The 22,336-nt window shown below is 48.1% G+C and overlaps 1 protein-coding gene across 30 annotated transcripts in view, besides 2 other annotated features; it reads right to left on the reverse strand.

The window, feature by feature from the left end:
* Positions 1-22,336, reverse strand: part of OCA2 (OCA2 melanosomal transmembrane protein) — a 380,308-nt gene that overhangs the window by 289,954 nt on the left and 68,018 nt on the right. For all 30 annotated transcript variants that reach the window (XR_001751294.2, XM_047432619.1, XM_047432618.1 and 27 more), the window contains 6 exons: positions 18,910-19,098; positions 15,884-15,941; positions 13,540-13,612; positions 9,436-9,596; positions 7,143-7,225; positions 5,815-5,968 (listed from right to left, as the gene is read on the reverse strand). Coding sequence is in view for 29 of the 30 variants with exons in the window: in XM_047432619.1 (XP_047288575.1) it covers positions 5,815-5,968; positions 7,143-7,225; positions 9,436-9,596; positions 13,540-13,612; positions 15,884-15,941; positions 18,910-19,098 (718 nt within the window). In the remaining variant the exon portion in view is untranslated. The remainder of the gene's footprint in view (positions 1-5,814; positions 5,969-7,142; positions 7,226-9,435; positions 9,597-13,539; positions 13,613-15,883; positions 15,942-18,909; positions 19,099-22,336) is intronic.
* Positions 10,307-10,975: an enhancer, noted in NCBI's record as "H3K4me1 hESC enhancer chr15:28264414-28265082 (GRCh37/hg19 assembly coordinates)". NCBI's record gives its function as "activates a minimal SCP1, AML or CMV promoter by ChIP-STARR-seq in primed H9 embryonic stem cells {active_cell/tissue: H9 hESC(primed)}" and the evidence as "EXISTENCE:reporter gene assay evidence [ECO:0000049][PMID:30033119]".
* Positions 14,700-15,199: an enhancer, noted in NCBI's record as "H3K4me1 hESC enhancer chr15:28268807-28269306 (GRCh37/hg19 assembly coordinates)". NCBI's record gives its function as "activates a minimal SCP1, AML or CMV promoter by ChIP-STARR-seq in naive H9 embryonic stem cells {active_cell/tissue: H9 hESC(naive)}" and the evidence as "EXISTENCE:reporter gene assay evidence [ECO:0000049][PMID:30033119]".

Here is a 22,336-nt window from a genome sequence, read left to right on the forward strand (position 1 = left end):
GGGAAGCAGCTTTGCCTGAAACAAGACAACTTCTGAGTCATTGCCCAAGGCAAATTCTACCCCTAGAGTAGATCCTAGGAATAATGCAATGTTGGCTCCACTGCTGGAGAGCCCATAGGGCTGGCGATTGCATCCAGCCCTCCCCTCATAATGTGGACCTTCCCCTAGGGAGTTATGGACACACAGAAGTCACAGAAACATAAGGTAGAACATACTATTCCTTTAACACCCCTGCAGCCTTCTCTACCTTCCACATCAAGTTACAGACACAACAAAAGGTCAGTGTTGGGTTTTCACAAGTTGTTGCTTAGACTACCTATAAAAAATTTATATTTGCAAGTTACACTAGTATTATAAGAAAGGAAAAATCATATTACTTTAAGCCCACAGAATATTCATCAAGATAGACCATAAACCTGAGTCATTTAAAAAAAAGTCAACAATGCCCGGGCACAGTGGCTCACATCTGTAATCCCAGCACTTTGGGAGACCGAGGCAGGCAGATCACTTGAGGCCAGGAGTTCATGACCAGCCTGGCCAACATGGCAAAAGCCCGTCTCTACTAAAAACACAAAAAGTAGCCAGGCATGATGGTATGCGCCTGTGGTCTCAGCTACTTGGGAGGCTGAGGCAGGGGAATCACTTGAACCCACAAGGCGCAGGTTGCAGTGGGCTGAGATTGCGCCACTGCACTCCAGCCTGGGCAACAGAGCGAGATTCTGTCACACACACACACACACACACACACACACACACACACACACACAAAGTCAACAAATTTAAAGGATTAAATATAGTGTAAGTTCTCTAACTATAAATGAATCAAACTGTAATTTAGTAATAGAAAGACAACAGGAAAATCTATAATATCTAGAATTTAAACAACACACATCTAAATAATCTATGGGTCAAAGTGGAAGTCTCAGGGAAATGTAAGAATTAGAGAGAACTAACTGAAACTGAAAACACTACAGATCAAAATCTGTAAGATGCAGCTACAGCAGTGCTGACAGGGAAAATTATAGTAATAAACGCTCACATTAGAAAGGAAGGATTTATTCCAGATATGCAAGTCTAGTCCAATATTCTAAAATAAATCAATGTAATCCACCATCTCAAGCAGCTAATGAAAAAAAACCATATGAGCACATCAGTTGACACAAAAAAGATGCTGACAAAACTCAACACCCAATTATGGTTTTTAAAAAAAAAGAGAGAGAGAGAAGAAAAGAAAAAACACAACAAAAAACCCCTCTTAGTACATTAGGAAAAGAATTTCCTCAGTCTCATAAAGAGCACCTACAAAAACTAATAATGTCATACTTCATGGTGAAAGACTGAATGCTTTCCCTTTAAGATTGAGAACAATGCCAGTCTTACCATTCCCATTCTAGCCACTGCAGTAAGGCAAGAAAAGGAAATTAAAGACATACAGATTGGAAAAGAAGAAATAAAACTGTCCTCATTGCAAATGACATGATTGTCTACATAGGAAATCTCAATAATTTTATTTTTTAAAAACTCTGAGAAGTAATAGGTAAATTCAATAAAATGACAAGGTATAAGATTAATACACAGAAAAATGTATTTATATGTACTGACAATAGATAGGTGGAAATCAAAATAAAAACTCAGTACCATTTACAATTGCTCCAAAGAAAAGGAAACACTTAGGTATAAATTTAAGAAAAGATGTACAAGATCAGTATCATGAAAATTATTTAAAAAATCAAAGAAGACCAAAATAAATACTATGTTTAGGGACTAGAAGGCCATTCTAAAATGTGGATGTCAAAGCACCACATGAAAAAGCAACTGAAGTCCTAGAAAATAGAAATGTAACTTTATTCCAATAAAGCTGGAGGACAAAGAGGGGAAAATGTATTTGGAAAACAAATGGCCACAGAATAGCCAGAACAATTTTGGGAAAAAAAATAATAAGTGTGAGGAATCACTCTTCCCAGTGTCCAAACTTACACCTGCAGTAATCAAGATAGTGTGGTACTGGTAGAGGAACAGACACATTACCAATGGGACAGAATAGAGAACCCAGAGAGATACCCCACAAATATGTCCGATTAATTTTTAACCAAGGAGCAAATGCAATTCAACTGAGGAGGGGTAGTCTTGTCGATAAATGATGCTGGCCCAGTTGGACATCCATAGGTTTAAAAATGAACCTTCACTTAAAACTCTCACACAAACACAAAAAATAACTCAAGGCCTGGCACAGTCACTCACACCTGTAATCTTAGCACTTTAAGAAGCCAAAGCAGGAGAATCTCTTGAGGCCAGGAATTCAAGACCATCCTGGGCAACATAGCAAGACCCTGATTCTACAAAAAAAATTTTAAAACTTAGCCAAGTATGGTATTGCATGCCTGTAGTCCCAGCTACTCGGGAGACCGAGGTAGGAGGATCACTTGAGCCCAGGAGTTTGAGGCTGCAGTGAGCTGTGATCATGCTACTGCACTCCAGCCAGGGTGACAGACTGAAACCTCATCTCAAAGAAAATAATAATAATAATAAAACTAACTCAAAATAGATCCTGGTCTTAAAAGTAAAACTGAAAAAAAAAAAGAAAACCAATCTTTGGACTCTGGAATTATTGCAACTAAGCAATAAGTTCTCAGACTTGACACCCAAACCGCAATCTATAACAGAAAAAAACTGGCCCGGCACAGTGGCTCATGACTGTAATCCCAGAACTTTGGGAGGCTGAAGTGGGTGGATCACTTGAGGTCAGGAGTTCAAGACCAGCCTGGCCAACATGGTAAAACCCTGTCTCTACAAAAAATACAAAAAAATTAGTCAGGTGTGGTGGCACGCACCTGTAGTTTTAGCTACTTGGGAGGCTGAGGCAGGAGAATCACTCGAACCCAGGAGATGGTGTTGCAGTGAGCCGAGATTGGACCATTGCACTCCAGCCTGGGCAACAGAGGGAGACTCCATCTCAAAAAAGAAAAAAAAAGGCCGGCACTGTGGCTCATGCCTGTAATCCCAGCGCTTTGTCTCCAAAAAAAAAAAAGGAAAAAAAATTATAAACTAGACTAAGAGAAAATATTTGCAAACCACATATCCAACAGTCTGTATATCTATAATATATAAAGAACAGTCAAAGCTCAACATTTTTAAAAACAATTCAATTAGAAAATAAGCAAAAGGCACATACAGACATCACGCTGAAGAAGATAGACAGGTGGCAAATAAATACATGAAAAGATAATATCCAACATTATCATCATTAGAGAAATTAAGTTGAAAGCACAGTAAGATATCACTACACACCAATAGAAAGACCACACCCTGTCATAGGCAGGGGCACATGGACAGCTATGACAGAAGGGCCTTGGACCACCAGATGTGTAGAACAAGCCGTGTAGGGAGACCTACTGAAAGATTGCCAGGGAACGGATGGGCTGCATGGGGAGGCAGCCTCTGGGAGGTCTTGGGCTGCCACACTACTCATGGAATCCAGGGACTGCCCTCCAAGGCCCTTCCTGAGACCCTGCCATGCTCCCTTCTATGTGTGGCTGGTTTCTGTGTGGTGGCCTCTGCTTTTTGTTTCTGTAAGGGTGGAAACCATGTCGAACTGGCCTCTTAAATATCTGCTAGCCGTAATAAAAAAAAAATCAAAGTACAGGACTTTTAAAATCTAGAAATGGCTTTTTGTAGAGAAGGAGAGGTTTTTTCTAAATGACAAATAATACTAACCATTAATTAATGAAAATAAATCTTTGCAAATTATGTAGTTTTCAAAGGTTGAACAATTTTACAAAAAAAGTGAACAAACCTTAGAATAACAGAGAAGCCCATTAAAAATAATTGGCATTGTATTGTATTTTTTAATTAATGACTGTAACTAATTAAAGCACATTGAATTTATTAAATCTATAATTGCAAAATAATAGTAAAAAAGGGGAAGAGGGAAACTAAATAAATTCAGTGGACACCACTGGAAGTTACTAAGGGAAGAGCTCATTACTAAGAAAGTTGATCATTACAGAAATAGGATTTATCTTAGGCGGGCAGTGGGCCCTGGTGGGTATTAAAATCATTAAGAGAAAAAGTGGCAGGGAGCTGGGCACCTTTCTCCACCACCTCAACTCCCTGAGCATTCTCCGCACCCCTGACAGCAGGACATCCAGACATAGGGTCCTCCTCCTGGACACAGGCCAGACCCCTGCACACCTGTGAAGCACAGGTGCCCCAAAATGGAACCTGAAGGCTTCAGATCTCAATTGTAGTCTGTAGGAAATAGGATAGAGCAGCTAATTAATCCCATGAGGAACCCAGCACTGAATCAGGGTATAGAATATTCTACAGAACAACAGAATAGGATTTGTCAACTAGATGGTGGCGCAGTAAAGATTTCACCTAACGTCACCTTTAGAAGGGCCCTTGGCTGGCTTCTGGGTACTCAGCTTCGGGACTATTCCCTCATTACCAAAGAGAAGGCTGTCTTGTGGGCCTGGGGCAGTGTGTTCTGCTGTATTACCTGCATGCCCAGACTGTATAAAATGTGATTTATAAATGGTGCGCACCTGCTTGCTTCCTGGGAGCAGGGATCTTGGTAAGCTGAGGGTGACCATCTAACCGGCCTCCACAAAAACTCAGTCTCCAACAGGTTGCCCAGGGCAGAAACACCGCATATGGCTGCCTCTGGCTGCTGGAGGGAGGGGCGTGCTCTGTGTGGGCCCACCTGGGAGAGGAGACCTTTCAGAAGCCCACTCCTGGGTTCCTCCAGGCTCAGCAGGTTTCCACTGCCGGGCATGGCAATAAACCCCAGCCCAGAGGACAGCTGCCCCTGAGCCTGCGAGTTCCTGTGTCAAATCACAGGGTGGTCATGGGAACCGTGAAACAACAGTAATATTAATTTAAAAGAAAATGGATAGAAAATGGAGGGAACAAAACTGTTCTAGAACTGAAGAGATGTAAGAGATAACAATTAATCCTGTGAGTGGTCCTTGTTAGACAGGTGAGGGCTCAACTTACTGGGGTCATCATTCCTCAGCAAGTGTACTCAACAACCACAAGCAAAGTTCTGGAACTTTCCTGGCCACTCCTCCAGCCTGCCATCTCCTCAACATCCCCAGGTATTTCTCAGACCTATCCCAAGCTCACTAGGACGCGCCTCTAACGGTCACATCATGCACTGACCTTCCAGGCTCCTGTCCGTGTTGTGGTTAAGTTTGATTTCATAGTTAAAGCAACAACGGACCTGCCCAGCCCAGGAAGGGTCTGCACATTGCTTCGTGCTATTGAAGGCATAGCCACACTTAGAACTTCCCAGAAACATAACATTGACTGGACTTAAGATCACATGTGGAAATGCCCATAAGCCAAGTTGGTAGACGGAACAGATAATCAAATAATCCCTCCGGGCACACAGCCCCAGGCCATCCGTGTCCCCTCACACACACAACCCCACGGTGCAGGTGGGCGCAAATGAGCACACCCATCACACAGGTGCAGACTCTGAGTCTCAGAGGAGACTGTGACTCTTGTTCCCTCAAGGTCACACTTGGAGTGAGCAGCGGAGAGAGAGTAGAAAATCGTATGCACATTCTGTTTTCTCAGGTACACTTCTGCTCCTAAAGTCCATCCTTCTCATGTCAGTTGCCAAGATTCAGCAAATATTCCTGTATGGTTCCCTTTCTACCTAGAGAGAGGGACACGCTAATCTTTAGGAATGATGACACTAGTCCAGTTTGATTAAGGAGTCAGGACTGAGCCCATCCAGAGTGTCTCACGGATCTCAAGCCTCCCTGACTGTGGGCCCAGACAGATCGGGGGAGCAGGTGTGAAAGTTACCTCAAATATGATCAGCGCGTAGACGCCCGCGAGGATGGCCGTCGCGATGGTCACCTGGGTTTCTACACTTCCGCGGAGGTACTGATGAGCCATCAAAAGAGGGACAGCCTGGGTCTGCTGCAGGGAGGCCCGGATGCTGATGGACACCGTCTCTCTGCAGAACGAAACAACGACCTTACTGTTCACAAGGTCAACAGTTAGGGGACCTCCCTCTGTATCAGCCATGGCATTAACCAGAGTGCAAATGGAACAATTCAGCCCAACGCCCAATCTCACAGCTGGAAGAGCAGTGAGCACAGGCCAGCGGCGTGAGACATAGGATGCAGCCTCCCTGCAGCCAAGCCCGACTGGTCCAAGCAGGCCCCTCAGCCTTCCTGTGACACCACCCGACAATGAACAGTGAGTAGGGGCCTGCACAGAAGACGCCAGCCATTGAACTGGCTCTTCCTCCTCCCCAACATACCCGACCAGTTTACCTGCTAACTAAGAGCAAAGCCAGCTATTTGAACTCCAGTCCCTGAGAGTGGGGAGACGCACTACAGACGAGAAGCCTGCAAGTGACCACAGGTCTGTGGCGAACACTGAAGCGTTTTTTCAAGTTCAGGCCAATATGTTTTATGGGCCGAATTATGTCCCCTTCCTCCAAAAACAATTCCTCTGTTGAAGTCCTAACCCCGAGTACCTCCAAATGTGACTGTAGGTAGAGGGAGGGTCTTTAACAAGGTGAAGAAGGTTAAATGAGGTTATGGGGATGACTCCTAATCCAGTAGGATGGGTGTCCATACAAGGAGAGATGAGAAGACAGGCACAGAGGGATGGTCACCTGTAAGCCAGGGGAGAGGCCTTGGGAGAAACTGACCCTGTCGACACCTTGACCTCGGACTTCCAGCCTCTAGAATTACAAGGTAAATGACTGACATTTAAGCCACCCAGTGTGTAGTACTATGATACGGCAGCCTTAGCTGTCTAACACACCAAGCAAGAGTACCGATTGAATATGAAGCAGCATTAGTTAAGGAAGAAGAATCCTAAATTTCCTAGAATTCTCCATTGTACAGCTTCACATTAATGAAATTAGAACGTCAACCAAAAAATACCATTTGTTTCAAAGTGACTTCTGCAGTCGACCCTCTCACATCCTGACACCCATGGCTACGATGTCCTCCCACAGCCTTTGAGCTCACTGTCTACACAGCATGAGTGCCGTGTCCAAGTCACATGCTGACCTGGTGCTGTGTGGGCCGAAATCAGTGTCCTATAGGTCAGACTCCTTTAAACGCACGTGTCCCAGAGAGCCTGCCCCAACACCTCACTCACTGAGAACTCACCTGGTCAGTACCTCAAAGGTCCTGCTCATCACTGAGTGCTCGCTTCTCCTCGGATTTAAATACACCGTCCAGTTGTGAGTGACCTGTACAAGCCAAAGCATAAGTTATGGTGAGGCTTTTCACCTGAGACACCATCTGGGATCTGGCACTGCTCGGTCTAGGTATTTGTTTCAAAAAAGAAAAGGAGAAAGAAAGAAACAGGAGAGCATCTTTATTTGAGCTCTCACATCTCTGATGTTAGGAGCTAGTGCAGGTGGTTGGAGCTGGGAATTTCCACAATTTAGAGAGCTTTGTTTAAGAAAAAGGATTCAAAAGAAAAAATGCAGAATTAGTGTACAAAAGTACAAAAGGCATAGAAGTAAATAGTGATTTAATACGAGAAAAAGAAATCATGCCCAGACGCGCTGGCTCACGCCTGTAATCCCAACACTTTGGGAGGCCAAGGTGGGAGGATCACTTGAGGCCAAGAGTTCAAGATCAGCCTGGGCAACAGAGCAAGACCCCTGTCTGCACAAAAAAGTTTTAAAAATTAGCCAGGCCTGGTGGCATGTGCTTGTGGTCCCAGCCACTTAGGGGCTGAGGCGGGAGGATCCTGTGAGCCCAGAAGTTCCAAGTTACAGTGAGCTGAGATCATACCACTACACCCCAGCCTGGGCAACAGAGTGAGACCCCCGACTCTAAAAATTTTCTAATATAAATTTTTTTTAATTTAAAAAATGAAATCACTACAAGTTACTAGAGACTTGGAGAACTCTTCTGAGTGCTCTGAGTCCTGAGAACTGCTTCTGCAACTGCTTGCAACCTGGAGGCAACAAACCCACCCCCAGCAAACCTTCCACACCCCTGTGCACAGGAGCCCCTGCAAGGAAGGGCCCCAGAGTGAAGCTTCATTCCCTGCCTTGCATGTTCTTGCCCCTGGGGTGCAGGAGAGTGATCACCTGGGGAGGCAGCCTGGGGAGCGGGGGGCGGGGGGGGACCCTCAATGGGAAGATGCGAATCTCGCCCACAAATCACAAAGGACACTGAAAATAGGATCTCTGAAACCGGTCAAAGCAAAGAAGCACACGCATGAGAGAACAGAAGTTCTTTTAGGTACTTCAGTGTTTGCAAAGAGCGTATCTGGGGGGAAAAATCCTTTAGTAAAGATCTCTTGGGTTTCCCATGTTTCTGGGGCTGGATTTGCCTGTGGGCATTTTGGGTGCATCAGCATGTTAGGAAGGGCCACCCCAAGAGAGCAGGGAGGTGCCATACAGATCATTTAATCTGGGTTATTAATATGCAAGTGCTGGGGAGGCAGCGGGACCGCAGGCTGTGTAAGGTCCTGCCCTTCTCCATGCAAGTCCCAGGTCAGAGGGCAAAGGTCATTGCTCATCACCAAGGAGCCCCTTGCCAGAGGGCTGTGCTTTTCACACAGGGAACCAAGTTGACATCCTAAGACCCTGGCCAGGGCAGCCGGTTCAGAACATTGGTGTTGCGTCAGCCACGGTCCAGGACACTGCATGCTAGTTCATAATGAGACCTTTGCTCTGTGGACCATGCTCTACAAGGCAGGAAAAGGGGAGGGTGCATTCATTCTTCAGATGCTCCACTGCAGGTGACACAGCCTGTGCATGGGCGGGGTTTCCCTCTACTGGTTATAACAGGGAACATCCATGAACCAGGGCTACGACTTCCATGCAGAAGTCACCGTGATAATCCAGTGGAGTCTCCGAGGCCAGGGCTCGGGGGAGTCAGGCTTGCGTGGAAGGAGCCCTGCCTCTGGAGTCTAGGCTCTGGGCTGCCATGACAGCCACCGCTTCCTGGCTGCCTTTGCAGGATGTGAATGAAGGCTTGACAAGGCTCAGAGACAAGGCTGAGCACAGGCCTACACAGATACAGCAGCTCAGAACGTAGGCACTGTCTTAGCAGATGTCCACAAACACAGTAACCGTGCTGTGGAAGTGTCTTCTGAACCCTGACGTAAGGCCCGGACTTAACTGCACTTCAACGACACCAAAAAAAAAAAAAAAAGTTTTTTCATTTCAAATGTATGTTTCCTGAATGGCCCAGCAAAACAGTTTTGAATAAAGAACTTGCAAGCCTGATTTTACTGAAATGGCAAGAGTTTCATAAATAGAGAAATGGTAAAAAGAGAATTTCAAAGACAAAGCAAAAGATAAGAAGAGCCAATGAATTGACTAAGAATGGTGTCCTCGCCTGTGGCTCCCCATCAAATCCATTCAAGAGGAAACACAATTTATTATGAGATGAAATGAGATTTCACAATTCCTTTCAAATAAATTATCAGCATAACCTGCTGTGGCCGCCGCCACCTGGAGCCCAAAGCGTCAGCCTGGGTCAGCTCCACCACGATGTGCTCTTCCCTCCCAGGACGACTCGGCCCACTGGCCACTAGGGCCCCTGCCAGGTCCACCTGCAGCAGCGTGGAGTCCACGTGGCTGCTAAGGTTCACGGCTCGGAGAGTGTCAAGGAGAACCACAAGGCAGACAGGAGAAACCCCATGTCCCCGCCGCCCGCCAGACGCACACCCTCCTCTGACAGTGTGTGAAGAAATGCGTTTCCCCAGGTGCCCCACGCCCTTGGCCATTAACACGATCTTCCTGCCTTTCTTATTACCCACATCTCAGCCCTCATTCAAGACCTAACTCCCCTGAAGCAGATCGTCGTGACCCTCTTGTGAGAGGTGCCCCCCACACCAGGGAAAGGGTGCATCCTTAGCTCCAAAGATGGAGGGAGGCCAAGAGGGACCTGAATGGACAGGCCTCGCCAGGGCCCCTCCCGGCCCGTTTCCTGCGCTTGCTCATGTGCTCTCGTCCTATCACACCTTTCAGGACCCCACTCTTCATCAAACCTAGCATCAAAACACCAAGCTCAGCTGTTTCTTGTCAAGCAACGCTTATATGAAATACATGAGTATGCCTTTTTCTTGTTAACCTGTCCTTCGTGTCTAATCTGCAGGGCCCTGGTTGGAGAAGCTAGGAGGGTGGGGAAACAGTGTTTTCTCCTCCCCTCTGAATCTCACAGTCTCCTCCATGTCCTCTGAGAGCCCAGGATGCAGCGCTGGGTGTGATACAAAATGCATCACATGGGAAAAAGGAGAGAATGAAAGGGATGGGGAAAGAGGGAGGGAGAGAATAGGGAGAATGGGGAGAAGGGAGGGAGAGAGAAAGGGAGAGGAGAAAGAAGAGGACGCAGCAAAGAAGAGCAGGAAGGGAGGGAGGAAGAGAAAGGAGAGCGGGAGACAAGGACGGCGCCCTTAACTGACCTGGTTGTAGAGGTTTGCTGGCTTCTGTTCATTTGCCCAGTGCCCTGGGAGCCTGACAGGCCTCCTTCAGACAACAATTCAGGGACAAAGAACTTCAGGTGCTACAATTACAGGCTTCTGAAATAGACCCTGCAACTACCGAACCGACACCGCCTGGCTGCTGCGGGAGACACTGAGGTTCCGAAAGAAAGGTGGCTTCGCTATTCACCGGCTAAAGGAGAGTGGTGCTTTCTCCAGAAGCTCCTCCCCTCACAGCAGACACCCTGGGTGTCCTTCACCCAGCCTCCTCCACAGGGCAGGCCAGAGGGCCGGGAGGAGGCCTCGAGCTCCTTGCTCAGAAGACAGCCCTGAGGACATTGCTGTGGGCCTTTCCAACCAGGCCGAGGCCCCTCCTACCTCACGCCTATACTGCACGCCCTTTCTCAGGGAATCACCTTGTGGGGGGCAGGGTCCAGCTGGCTTCCCCTCCTCCCCAGGCAGGCCTCAGGCCTGCAGCTTTCACAAAGCTCAGCTTTCACAAAGAGAGGGTCCGTGAGTTTCCGGAAAGCGTGGTTAATCCCTGGGAACACTGCCCTTTTCCAAGGAGCCTGCTGGAGGCTCAAATCAACCCCTCATCGTGGCTGGTGACCCACTGCGCTGGAGGACGCAGCACCCGTCTTCCCCCCTGCGGCCTTCATCTCTCCCAGGCTCTCTCTCTCCCTCTTCATCCAAATTCGAAGGCCACACAGGGAGCAGGCGAGACAGCTCCCCGCCCCCACCCATCCCCACCCCCTGCCAAGAAAGGCAGGCTGCCCTGCCCCCTGCTGGGAGGGACTCAGGCTGTGGGGTCCTGCGTGGGGCCTGGTGCACTCAGGCTGCTCGAGAAGGAGCTCGGCAAAATGCCTTAGAATAAAGGGGACACACTGGGGCCTGGGTGGGATGACCAGAGGGCTGAGGCTATCATCTCATCTTAGTGACCTAAGCTGCTGTGCTCGCCTGGGATCTCTACTGACTGATCAAGTTTGGTGCCAGTGTTCCCCGAAATCTCCCCCTCCTGCCTGAGTCCCACTGAGGACGGTTTCTGGACAGGATCCAGCCTCCCCCTTCAGGTTCCTGGGTCAGCCTGGCAGCCGGTTGCTCTATCTCCCCTTCCCCCTGCGGGAAAGTCCTGCCCAGGAGGGTGGCATGTCCTGGGAACTTCATGAGGGGGGCCAGGAACACAGGGCAAGTCTTGGCTTTCTTCATCCTGGAGAAGTAATGCAGAGGTCGAGGCACAAGAATGAGAAACAAAGTCTGTCAACATCACACAGCTCTTCGGTTCTCTCACATGGAGATACTTTACAGCTCAGGCACGGTTTTAAAGTGATGAAGAAAATACAAACACGTGCACACGCACTCAGCTGACATCAGCACCGCCCTGACCCCAGTGGAAGTGGAGTGCTTCTAAAACTGTGGGTGCCTCCATCCACTGAGCAGAGGGAAGCACAAACTGTGACCAGTGTGCCCCCGGCTCACCAGAAAGCCTCAAGTGCCAGGCCTTTCTGGAAGGCTGCTGGTGCCCTGCTGGGTAGGTCACTGGCTAAGGAGAGGGTGTCCTGGGAAGATGTAGTGAGACTGCCAGAAGGACTACAAAAACCAAGACTATGCAACAGATTACAGCAACTGCAAGGAAAGCAAGCCAGTTTCCTAAAATTTCAGTTCACTGAGGCTATCAAGTAAGTAGACTAAAGAAAAAAACACTTGCCATTTAGCTAACTGAATTAATTCCTTTTTAAATAATAATCATCAAAAATATTTGCCTGATCAGAGCACTGCATCGGAGGGTCCCACCTCTCCAGGACCCTCCACGGATGCCCGCCGCACTAGCAGTACCGGGGGCTTCAGGGGCCTTCATGCACAGACACCTTAATGACCATGTCCATTCCAAAATAGGCTCTGGACCCTGGCTGGAGAGCTGAGAAACAGCCCTCCCACCCTTTCACCCAGAAAAGGCTGGGCGGACATCAGTTAACCGCCCACTCCTGATCCCAGAATAAGGCTGCAGCAGAAACAACTCGCCTGAAACCTAGAGCAAAACAGGTGACTGTAGGAAGAGGCGGCTTCCCTGGGACAGGTGCCAGCCCCACACTTCAGAATCAGGCGGGATTCAGCCAGAAAATGTAGACATTGCTCAAGGTCAAGTGTGGGCTCGCTTGAGCGTGGGAGCCTCTGAGAGCCACAGATGGAGGTGTTCACATTTTCTTGCAGGCTTTTCCTCCAGGAACCCCAGCGGACGCTCCCCAGGAAGACAGGAAGCCTGGGGAAGATCCCGGGAAAGCATCCCCCAGTGATGCCAAGCTTCACCCTCTCCCGCTGCCTCTATCTCCCCTAAGGAGCAAAGGCCTTCATTTGCTTGGGAAGCGCATCTAATCTGGCAGCCAGAGGGCGCAGTGGGAATTCCTGCAGCCATGAGAAGGTAGGAGGGGAAAAAGTAGCTCTTACCCCAGTGGGAGGGGTGGGCATAGAGCAAGGTCTGGCAGACAGCTGGCAGGGCGCCCGGTAATTCTGAGTGTCTAGTGCACCGCAGGTTGCCACAGCAACCGCAAACCTCAACACAGCCAGATTCTCACTAGATTTACATGAACCCTCCAACTAATGCCTGCAGAAGTCAAGGCATGCTCATCTCCAAGCTTAAACACCACTGGCCTCTGTATCTACTATCCTACAGGATGTGTATGACTTCTAACTAAAAATTCTGAGGCATGCAAGAAGGCCAGAGCAAGCACAGTAGGAGGTGCCACAGCAGTCATCAGAGCAAGGTGACACAGCCAGGACAGCAGGGACTGGAAGATGGGTCACGCTGAACGCAAAAGAGACGGGGGAGGAAAGGAGTATCGGGGAGCTAGGGAAAGCCAGGTCCTGGCTGGAATGTGCCCTGCTGTCCCCCTTCCTCACTCGGAGAGCTCCACCACCAACCCCGCCACTGTCTCCCTGGAGCTCCCCGCCCCTCTGTCCTGAGACTCCATCTCTCATCAGACATCCTGGAGAAACAAAATTCGAGTGGTAATGGCCTGTGCCGTGGCCTTCAGCAGCAGTCACAACCGTCTGCAAGTGTCTCCTTGTGTTTCAGATCTCAGCCAGGCGGCTGGCCATCTCAGAGTGGATTTTGGATACAGTAGTTCTCCAGCGGTGATAAGGCCAACAGCTGCCAGAGCTTTCCTTGATCCGGATATAGGCTGAACAAAATCTGTAACAATCAGAAACGTTGAATGACAGAGGTGTGGTATGAGAGCAGTAAGGTATAAATCATTTTGATAACAGTCGAAAACAGATGTGATGATGGGGCTACTGTGTGCATCCAGTACGCGCCAGCTTACTCTGAATAGCTTTGTCTTAAATATTATAATATTCTGATTCATTACAGTGTTCAGCTACAATGGGCCCTGATTATTGATACCTGCCAAATTTAAGGATTAAATGCCTGGCCATAAAATTAAATCATCGAAGAAGGATAAATGTGGTTTTCTCACAATGGAGAATAAAGGCATATGACCCCTGTGATGGTTAGAGCATGTGTTTGTGGTAGCAGGTGTTTGTGAAATTTGCAAAGCACCTTATACACCATCAAAAAGTAAATTAAACTGATGATAACATGAGATTATAGAAGTTCAAATCATTCCTCAAATTCTATTTTGGATATCTCCACAAATCACCTAAACTCCATCTCACAGAAGAAGGCTGAAGACTGGACACAGAGCTCAGGTCAGCTCTTGGGGACCAGGGGAGACCTGGCCCACCCTGCCCGGTTCCTTTGAAATCTCAGAGCACCTGCCAGGCCCTGCTGAGCAGCAGGGCTTCAGAAACACACATTCATGTGAGTAGGAAGTGGGGAAGCAAATTGGTAGCCAAAAATATCAAATCGTGATGCTTTCAGAGCTCAATGTAATTGGTTTTCCATTTCTAGCATAGGTTTCCTTTCTCTGGGTCACAGATCTCCTCCCTCATGGGTTGGTTATTAAGAAGTTGACTGTACTCAGCTCAATGCAATCAGCACTGACTTCGTACACCACCCTGCTGTCCACATGTCACAGCTGAGAGCGGACCCAGGGCCACAGACATTCCTGCACGCACGCAGAGCCACAACACACATGCCACGCGTGCAGGTCACGAAACAGCCAGCAACAGCCACACATCTCATGCACAGGGGACCCTGTCACCAGGGCAGGCTGCGTGGGAGAGCACACCACCCCCTAAGCTGGTGCACATCATGAAACACAGCTCAGACCCACCCTTGCCCACAACCACAGTCACACCCCCATCACAGCAGCACCTACCACCCACTGTGGTCTCCCAGCAACTGCCCATGCACACCATCTTGGAGCAACACTCAAAAGTGGCACTCACCCAAAATAACTCCGCAAAGCACAGGCACAACCCATCATGGTCACTGACCACAACCTACACAGCTCACACAGGTGCACACACAGAGACATACAGCAGGCACAGGGGACCACACACAACCTACACAGTTCACAATGGTGCACACACACAGACATAGAGCAGGCACAGGGGACCATACACCCACGTGCAGACACGAAGACACACAGCCACAGACAGGAGACCATATACTCACCTGCACACACACAGACACACAACCAGACAGGAGACCACACACCCACTCATTGGGCAAATGTATTTTGAGTGCCGCTATGTGACCCTGGCTCAGGCTACATCAGGCCACAAAGCACACCAAGGCTGGCAGTGGGACCTGTGACTGTCGCCTCGGAGGGCACAGAGGTGTCTCTGCAGCCCTGGCTCCCTGCTCGGGCTCCTGTGCCTTTCCCTTGATGGGTCCATCTGCTAGGACCCCTCCAATGAAGAACAGCACCGCCCACTGCCATGGGCTCACCAGAGCAGCCCTCGCCCTCCCCTCGTTCCCACACTCTGTTCCCTACAAGGGCATCTCACGTTGGTTTGGCTCCAGAATGAGTCTGTTGTGAATGTTCATGTATTTGAAAGGATGGAGATGTCTGGGCAAATAAAATCAGAGACACCTCCCCAGAGGGGGCAAACCTCAGAGCTTCAACACTTACCGCTGGGCAGAGGCCCAGGGCACAATCTCAAAGGGGTGCTGAGACACTCTGGGCTATCCACGATCTCCAGATGTGTTCCAACACACATGAAGAGTGCTACTGTCCAGGGCTGAACAGGGAAGTGGTAAGCCACTCGAGGGGGAAGGGAGCCCCACAGCCAGCTACCCGACCTTCCATATGGCAACAACATGCTGCCCGGCTTCTGCCGTGTGACTGGGACCACAGCAGAGGAGCACAGCTGCGGCCTCGACCCCCTCAGCCCGCTGCCCCACAACCCTCAGCATCTCCTCCAAAGACAGTCAGAGAATCAGGCGAAGAGGGCCAGGCACTGAGCCCCACACCTCAGGTTCCCCCTGCTATACAGCCAAAGGCACACAGGGCTTCCACGGACCCAACAGTAGTGCTGGGGCAGCTAAGGTACTCACAGAACACAGCACCACAAAGGCAAACAGGCCCATGACTTTCAGCCACTGCACACAGCGCCTGCAAGAGAAAAAGTAGGGCCTTAGTGGCAAGGGCAGCAGTCCTGTTGCCCAGACTCAGACACTTTTCTGCAGCCTTGAGTAACTTCCATCTCAAAGCATGTGTTTTGAATTCTTTCCATAACATGATATGAGGGAGAACACCCTCATATCAGTGACCAGTAAACCCACAGCCCCATCCAAAGGAGCATGGTGGAGGTTCCAGAGGAGAACAAAGTTAACCAAAGTGTTTGCACATAGCTTGTTGTTGGGGAAACTAAAGTTCAAGATTTGAGACTTTTTGATAGCTGTTTAAAGGCTCCTGTTTCCTGGAAAAAAAGTAAACTGAATGCCTTATCTTGTCTCTCTGATTCATATTTATCAATTATTTTCCCCTAAGTTTTCTGAAAGGTAGGAATACAGATTTGATCATCAAATACAAAAACAAATAACTTAAGAAAGAAATTGCTATGCCGTTACTGGTTGTACCAGCAGTCTGTTAAGAATTCCTTAGGCGATAACTTAATTAACCATCAAGCCACACACTCAGCCCCTACCAAGGACTTCCAAAGCCATCCCGGCCCCCTTACCATTACCCATTTCTTAACCATGACCCCCAAGGCCCTATGTGAACCTGGGCCTGGCCTGCACTCTGCTGCCCTTCCATCCTACCAACGTCCTTGCTGCTCCCAGACCGGACCACAGGGCCTTTGCCTGCCGGGATGCTCCCTGACTGCAGTCCTCCTGTCATGCCCTTCTCTGCTCACTCAGCAGCCAGACCCCATCACCCAATGGCACCATCACTGCCCAGTCCAGGTTGTGCTCTCCCACCGGCTGCTCCGTGAGGGCAGGCACTAGAGCGTTTTTGCTTTGTCCCCACACATGGAAGGATGCTGGTACATAGCCCATGCTTGATGTATGTGTGTAGAATGAAATAAGAAACTCTATGTTGGAACATCTTTTTAATACTCTCCTCACTTAGTTAAGTTGCATCTGTCTTTGAAAACCTTCTTTCTGATCCTTTGAAAATGGTAAAATCTTGTTTTGCATTCTCTTAGATTTAATGAATTTGATGAATAATCAGTTCACGCTTCCCAATTACGATTCAACAGCTCCTACTTAAATAGGAATCAAAATGACATTTCTTTTTAAAGCATGAAGCATTAATTGAGCTATTCTAAATACAAATTTCTTTCTACGTAACTGACATCTGCAGCAGAGCTGACAACCCAAAATAAAAGGTTTTTTACAAGATTCTTCACTGATCACGCATGGTACTTTTTAGACATGTTATAAAGAATGGAGCTAACGTCTTTTAGTTCAGTGGCAAGCTCAAAGGCAAATATTCCATGAATCATAGAAGATAAAACAAGTACTGAATGCAAAAGTCTCAAATGTACTTGATTCTATTTTTCCATGTTGTGGGACAGCTGAGGACACGGCATCCTCAGGAGTGGTTACCCGTCCAGCTGGGAAAAGGCATGAACAGTGTCAGCGTTTGCCATCTTGTTGACCCATGGCGCCAGAACCCCACTCACACAATTTCACCCAACTCACATAATCTCATAGCGGATTCATTGGCCAAATGTTTATTGCACCCACGAGGGGGGCTGAGACCCCTTCTTCTCATCAGGAAGAAGCTACAGGCCGTTGAGAGTCACAGTGGGAAGAGACAGCTCCATGTCAAGCAGCGATGTGGGGGATCTAGGGTCGAATCCCTGCCCCTTGGCTTGGCTCAGTGTGGCCTTGGGCAAAAGCCTTATCCTCCTTGAGGTACCCTCCGTGTACCTCCCAGGATTGTTGGGAAGATGTATAGGATAGCGGATCCCTACGCACCTCAGGGAGTCTGAGGCGGGCCTCTTCGCACCCCGGGAGGTGCACTTGGAGCGTGCAGGCGGGTACACTTCCAACCAACCGCGAGCATCTTCAGAAAAGACTGGTCCCCACACACAGAGACACGGTGACGCTAATATTTGATGACTAAGTAGTGTTTTTTCACTTTTCTAGGGCTTTCACACATATTATCTTAGTGTAGGCCCGTGAGAGGCCACAAAGCCAGGAGGGCATCGCGTGACAGGGTACCGTCGCGTGGCCAGGCAAGGCCCTGCGATGGGCGCTCAGCGACTTCAGGTCGGATCCAGAATGGAAGCCCACTGGTCCCGGCTCCAAAACCTTGTTCTGTCCTGGAAATGATGCTTTCAAACATGTCCCTCTCAAAAGAACCCTTTCAAATGAACGGGCGCATGGGAGGAAACCCATTAGATAAATAGGCCAGTAAGGTGAGAGCGCTACTGCCCGCGCACACGCTCGGCCTCCCACGCATGCGCGCCCTAGGCCTACACACGCATGCGTACTCCCACTCCCACGCCCGCCGTCCCCCTACGCATGCGCATCCCCTCCCCACCCATTGCTCCCGTAGGCATGTGCACCATCCACTTTCTCTATGCAACTCTGCTTCCCCAAGCATGGCTCTGTGCTCCGTGTGCCCCGGACAAATGCTTACACATTAATGGTTTTCCAACGGATTGTAAGTTCTAAAATGTTTCCAGCCTTAACAAGGTTTCTGGAGCCCACAGCACAGAAGGGAACCCCACCCCTCAGGCTGTGCGCTGGGCCAGACCCACTCCTTCGTCAATAACTACAAAGGTATATCAAATTCCAAAACGCCACGGGGACGCCTGAAGCAAACAGATCCTATCTGCAAACCTAATGGCCATGAAGACCCCAGCCACACAAGCAGGAAGGAGAGGAGTGTACTGTGTCAATCATTTAGGTTTGTCCTCTCCGGCGCTGCATGATTTGCAGGAGGTCTTAAATGTCTCCCTAGGCCCAGGTAAAAATAAATCACCTTGGAGGAAAAGTGCAGCCTGGCCAGATGAGACAAAACTCATCCTCTTCTTCACGCTGCTGGTTTGAAAGATGGAGGGGCCATGTAGGACGCGATGTGCGGCCACCGCTGCTGCCAGGGTGGGCACCCCAAGTCCGCCTACCTCAGCTTGGAAAGACGGAGTCGGATGTGCGGGCTGTCCAGAAGGTCTCCCTTCTCGGAGGAGGCAGATGCAGACAGACCAGACACCTCCCTGCTTAGCAGGTATCTTCGCTCCCAGTCAGCAGAGCTGTCTTCCCAAGACTCTTCAGCAGTGATGAACTCTGGATGGTAAACAGGTATGCACCGTGACCTGGAAAGCAAGAGAGGTGTGGTTATCTCTCCTGAAATAGTAATGGCTACAAAGCAAGCTTTCCTCTGAGTTCTGACTGTGTGAAATGGCACCGAATCAACCCTGGTCTTTCAAAGGACCACAGACAGTGGTGCACTCTCATACTGGTGGGAATGGGTTTTTTTGTGACCTCTCAGAACACTTAGGTCAAAGGAAATTTTCTGGAGTCATTAAAGTCTTCAAAATGAATTGTGGGCCTTCAAGAAACCAGCTTTTTCTGAGTTTGGGACTTTCCAAGAAAGCTGTTTCTGGCTCAGACCAGTTCCCGCTGATTTCAGCGTTGGCTTTTTCACTGCATGCACTCCAGTAGTCAATACCTAGATCTGGGAGACTTGTCCAGGGTGAGTGGTGTCAGTTTTTCCTCCTCTGTGTAGATCTCTTTCTGCAGTGGAGCTGTAGGGAAGGTGGCCTACCTGGCTTCCCACACAACATCCACAGAAGCATGAGCAGGAAGAGGGAACATTCGTACCTGACTATACAGGCCAAAAATGGGGCCTATATCTAGATGACTCAAGGGGAATCATAAACTTTTCTCAGAATTACTTGAAAACACATCCGTTTACTTTTGGGATTTTTGTTGTTGTTGTTGTTTTGTTTTGTTTTTTGAGACAGAGTCTTGCTCTGTCACCCAGGCTGGAGTGCAGTGGCGCAATTTCAGCTCACTGCAACCTCTGTCTCCCAGGTTCAAGCGATTCTCCTGCCTCAGCCTCCCCAGTAGCTGGGCTTACAGGCGTGCACCACCATGCCCAACTAATTTTTGTATTTTTAGTAGAGATGGGGTTTCATCATGTTGGCCAGGCTAGTCTCGAACTCCTGACTTCAAGTGATCTGACTACCTTGGCCTCCCAAAGTGCTGGGATTACAGTCATGAGCCACTGTACAGAGCCTCCATTTACTTTTGGTTGAATCCCTGACCTGATCAGTTCCTTCAGTTTAGATGCACTTGACTCTTAAAAGTTTGTACCAAAAGCCAGAATTTTCATGTATCATATAGAATATTCATGGGCTCACAATACTGACGTTAACAGATGTGATCTGTGACACACTAGAATGGAGCCAGCTCAATGGGGCATTGTGATTCTCCTGAACACTTATGACTGCTTTAGAAGTGGTTCACAAGGAAAAAATGTTATTCAGAAGAAGCGTAGAGATGCCAATTAGGCTGTGTATAACCAATGTGTAACAAGATAACACATGACTTTGAAAATAGTCGATAATCCTATCAATTTTGTGACTGGAAAATGCTCAGGTGTGTGAGAAATAATATCACACCAACTGCTGAAAAAAACACAACTGTAACAAAATTGGAACAAAAAAAAACCTTTTCTTATAAGAAGACAGAGGGAAGCAAGTTAATGTCATTGCCTTCTAGAGCAGTGCTGTGCAATAGAACTTTCTGTGGTGATAGAAATGTTCGCTTCCCTGTCCAATATGGCAGCCACATGTGCTATTTGTCACTTGAAGTGTGGCTAGTGCAACTGAAGAAGTGAATTTTTAATTTTAATTAATTTAAATTTAAATAAACATCTGTGAAGAGTGGCTACCAGTTGTCAGTTCAGATACAGGGCATGCTTTGACCTTTGTACCACACGTTCCTGCTGTCAACACCCTTAAAAGAATACTTCTGAAAATATATAAATCAATGGATATTATCCTAATAAGCCATTTGATCAAATTAAAACTGCAACAAAATAAAGTTGATAAAAGTAAAGCATGAAAAAGACATTCCTACCACCAATACCTTAATTAGCTTCATGCAAAAAGAGAAAAGGAAAACGTTTTGTAAGCAAAGCTGACCCATGTTCTACTCCCTTGAAATGGTTTTTGTGACATGAGGCCCAGCTCGGCCTCCCAGGGCATGTCTCTGCTCTGCATGCCAGAAAAAATGCTTACACATTAATGGTTTTCCAATGAATTGCAAGTTCTAAAATGTCACAGGCCTTCACAATTTACCAAGTAATTCAAGAGAAAGCATTAAGGGAATAGGTGCGTAAAGTTTTTGTCTTAAAAGTTATTGATTAGGAGCAATGGAGGAGAATTCAGTTATCCACCAGTACAGAAGCTTGAAGCAGCTGGGTCAGTGGAAGTGCCTCAGCTTACACTCCTTACCCATCCAGTCACTGAGGGGCTGGTGGCAGGGACTGTACTAGGTGCCAGGATGTACGATGAAGAGGGGACAGGCTGGCCAACATAACCATAGATAGCACAGGGGCTAGTTTGGAAGTAAGGGCATGAATGTAGTGTTTGAGAGCACAGGAGAAGCACTGACTCTTGGTGGGTGGGGCAGAGACAACTAAGGGTCCTCAAAGGAAGTGACATTTGAATGCCCTTGACAGGAGTAGGACTGACTGCCTGGAGAGCCAGAGAGTGAAGGAGTTTCCTCTAGTCAAGGGCTTCATGTGAACAAATCATCCCTGCACTGAGAAATGATAAACCCAGATGGCTGCATACCATCCAAATCCCGGGAGCCAGAGTATTTGGAGGCTGAGGACAGGAATGCACATGGCATGCAAGCACCCCTAAAGTGCGAAGCCCTGGTCCCTGCCCTGGCTGCAGACTGGGCTGGGGAGAGAGGAGGCAGCTCCTCGGAAGCTCAGAGGTGAGTGAAGAAGACACAGCAGCCCTCCTGTCAATGCAGGTACACACCATCAGTGGGCAGGGAAAGGAGAATCCATGATGTGCAAATAAGTGATTCAAAATCAAAGCTGTTGAAACTTTAAATTATTTTGAGTCTTAAAAGAATGTGATTATGAAAAGAGTCACATAAAAGGCAGCTGTGGCCTTTTCTCTGATTCTAGATTTGCCTTTTTCCTTACCTACATTGTTTTGTAAAATGTTGTAAAAGACTACCGGGCACGAGAGAAGACCCCTTCCCTCTTCACTGTTGATCTTCATTGACAGATTAACTTCCTTCTTTCTTCTCTCACACAAAGACCTCATGACTATCACATTGTCTAACATGGAATGTCAAATATACTCTTTTAAATTGGGGGAGGGGGGAAGCTGTAACTAATCAAATTGCTGTAACTCATAAACCAGCCATGTATGGAAAATGTAGTCCTTCTACATTTCTTTGTTTTCTGCCTATATGGATAAGAATAAGACCTTAACTTTTCAGCTTTGGAGCACTGATCCCATTCCTTTGGATTCTGTGTTTCCCAAATGGCTATCCTCAGCTTTGTGCTTGAATAAATAATTT

Source organism: Homo sapiens, chromosome 15, assembly GCF_000001405.40.
Source record: "Homo sapiens chromosome 15, GRCh38.p14 Primary Assembly".
In the NCBI taxonomy this organism is placed as follows: domain Eukaryota; kingdom Metazoa; phylum Chordata; class Mammalia; order Primates; family Hominidae; genus Homo; species Homo sapiens.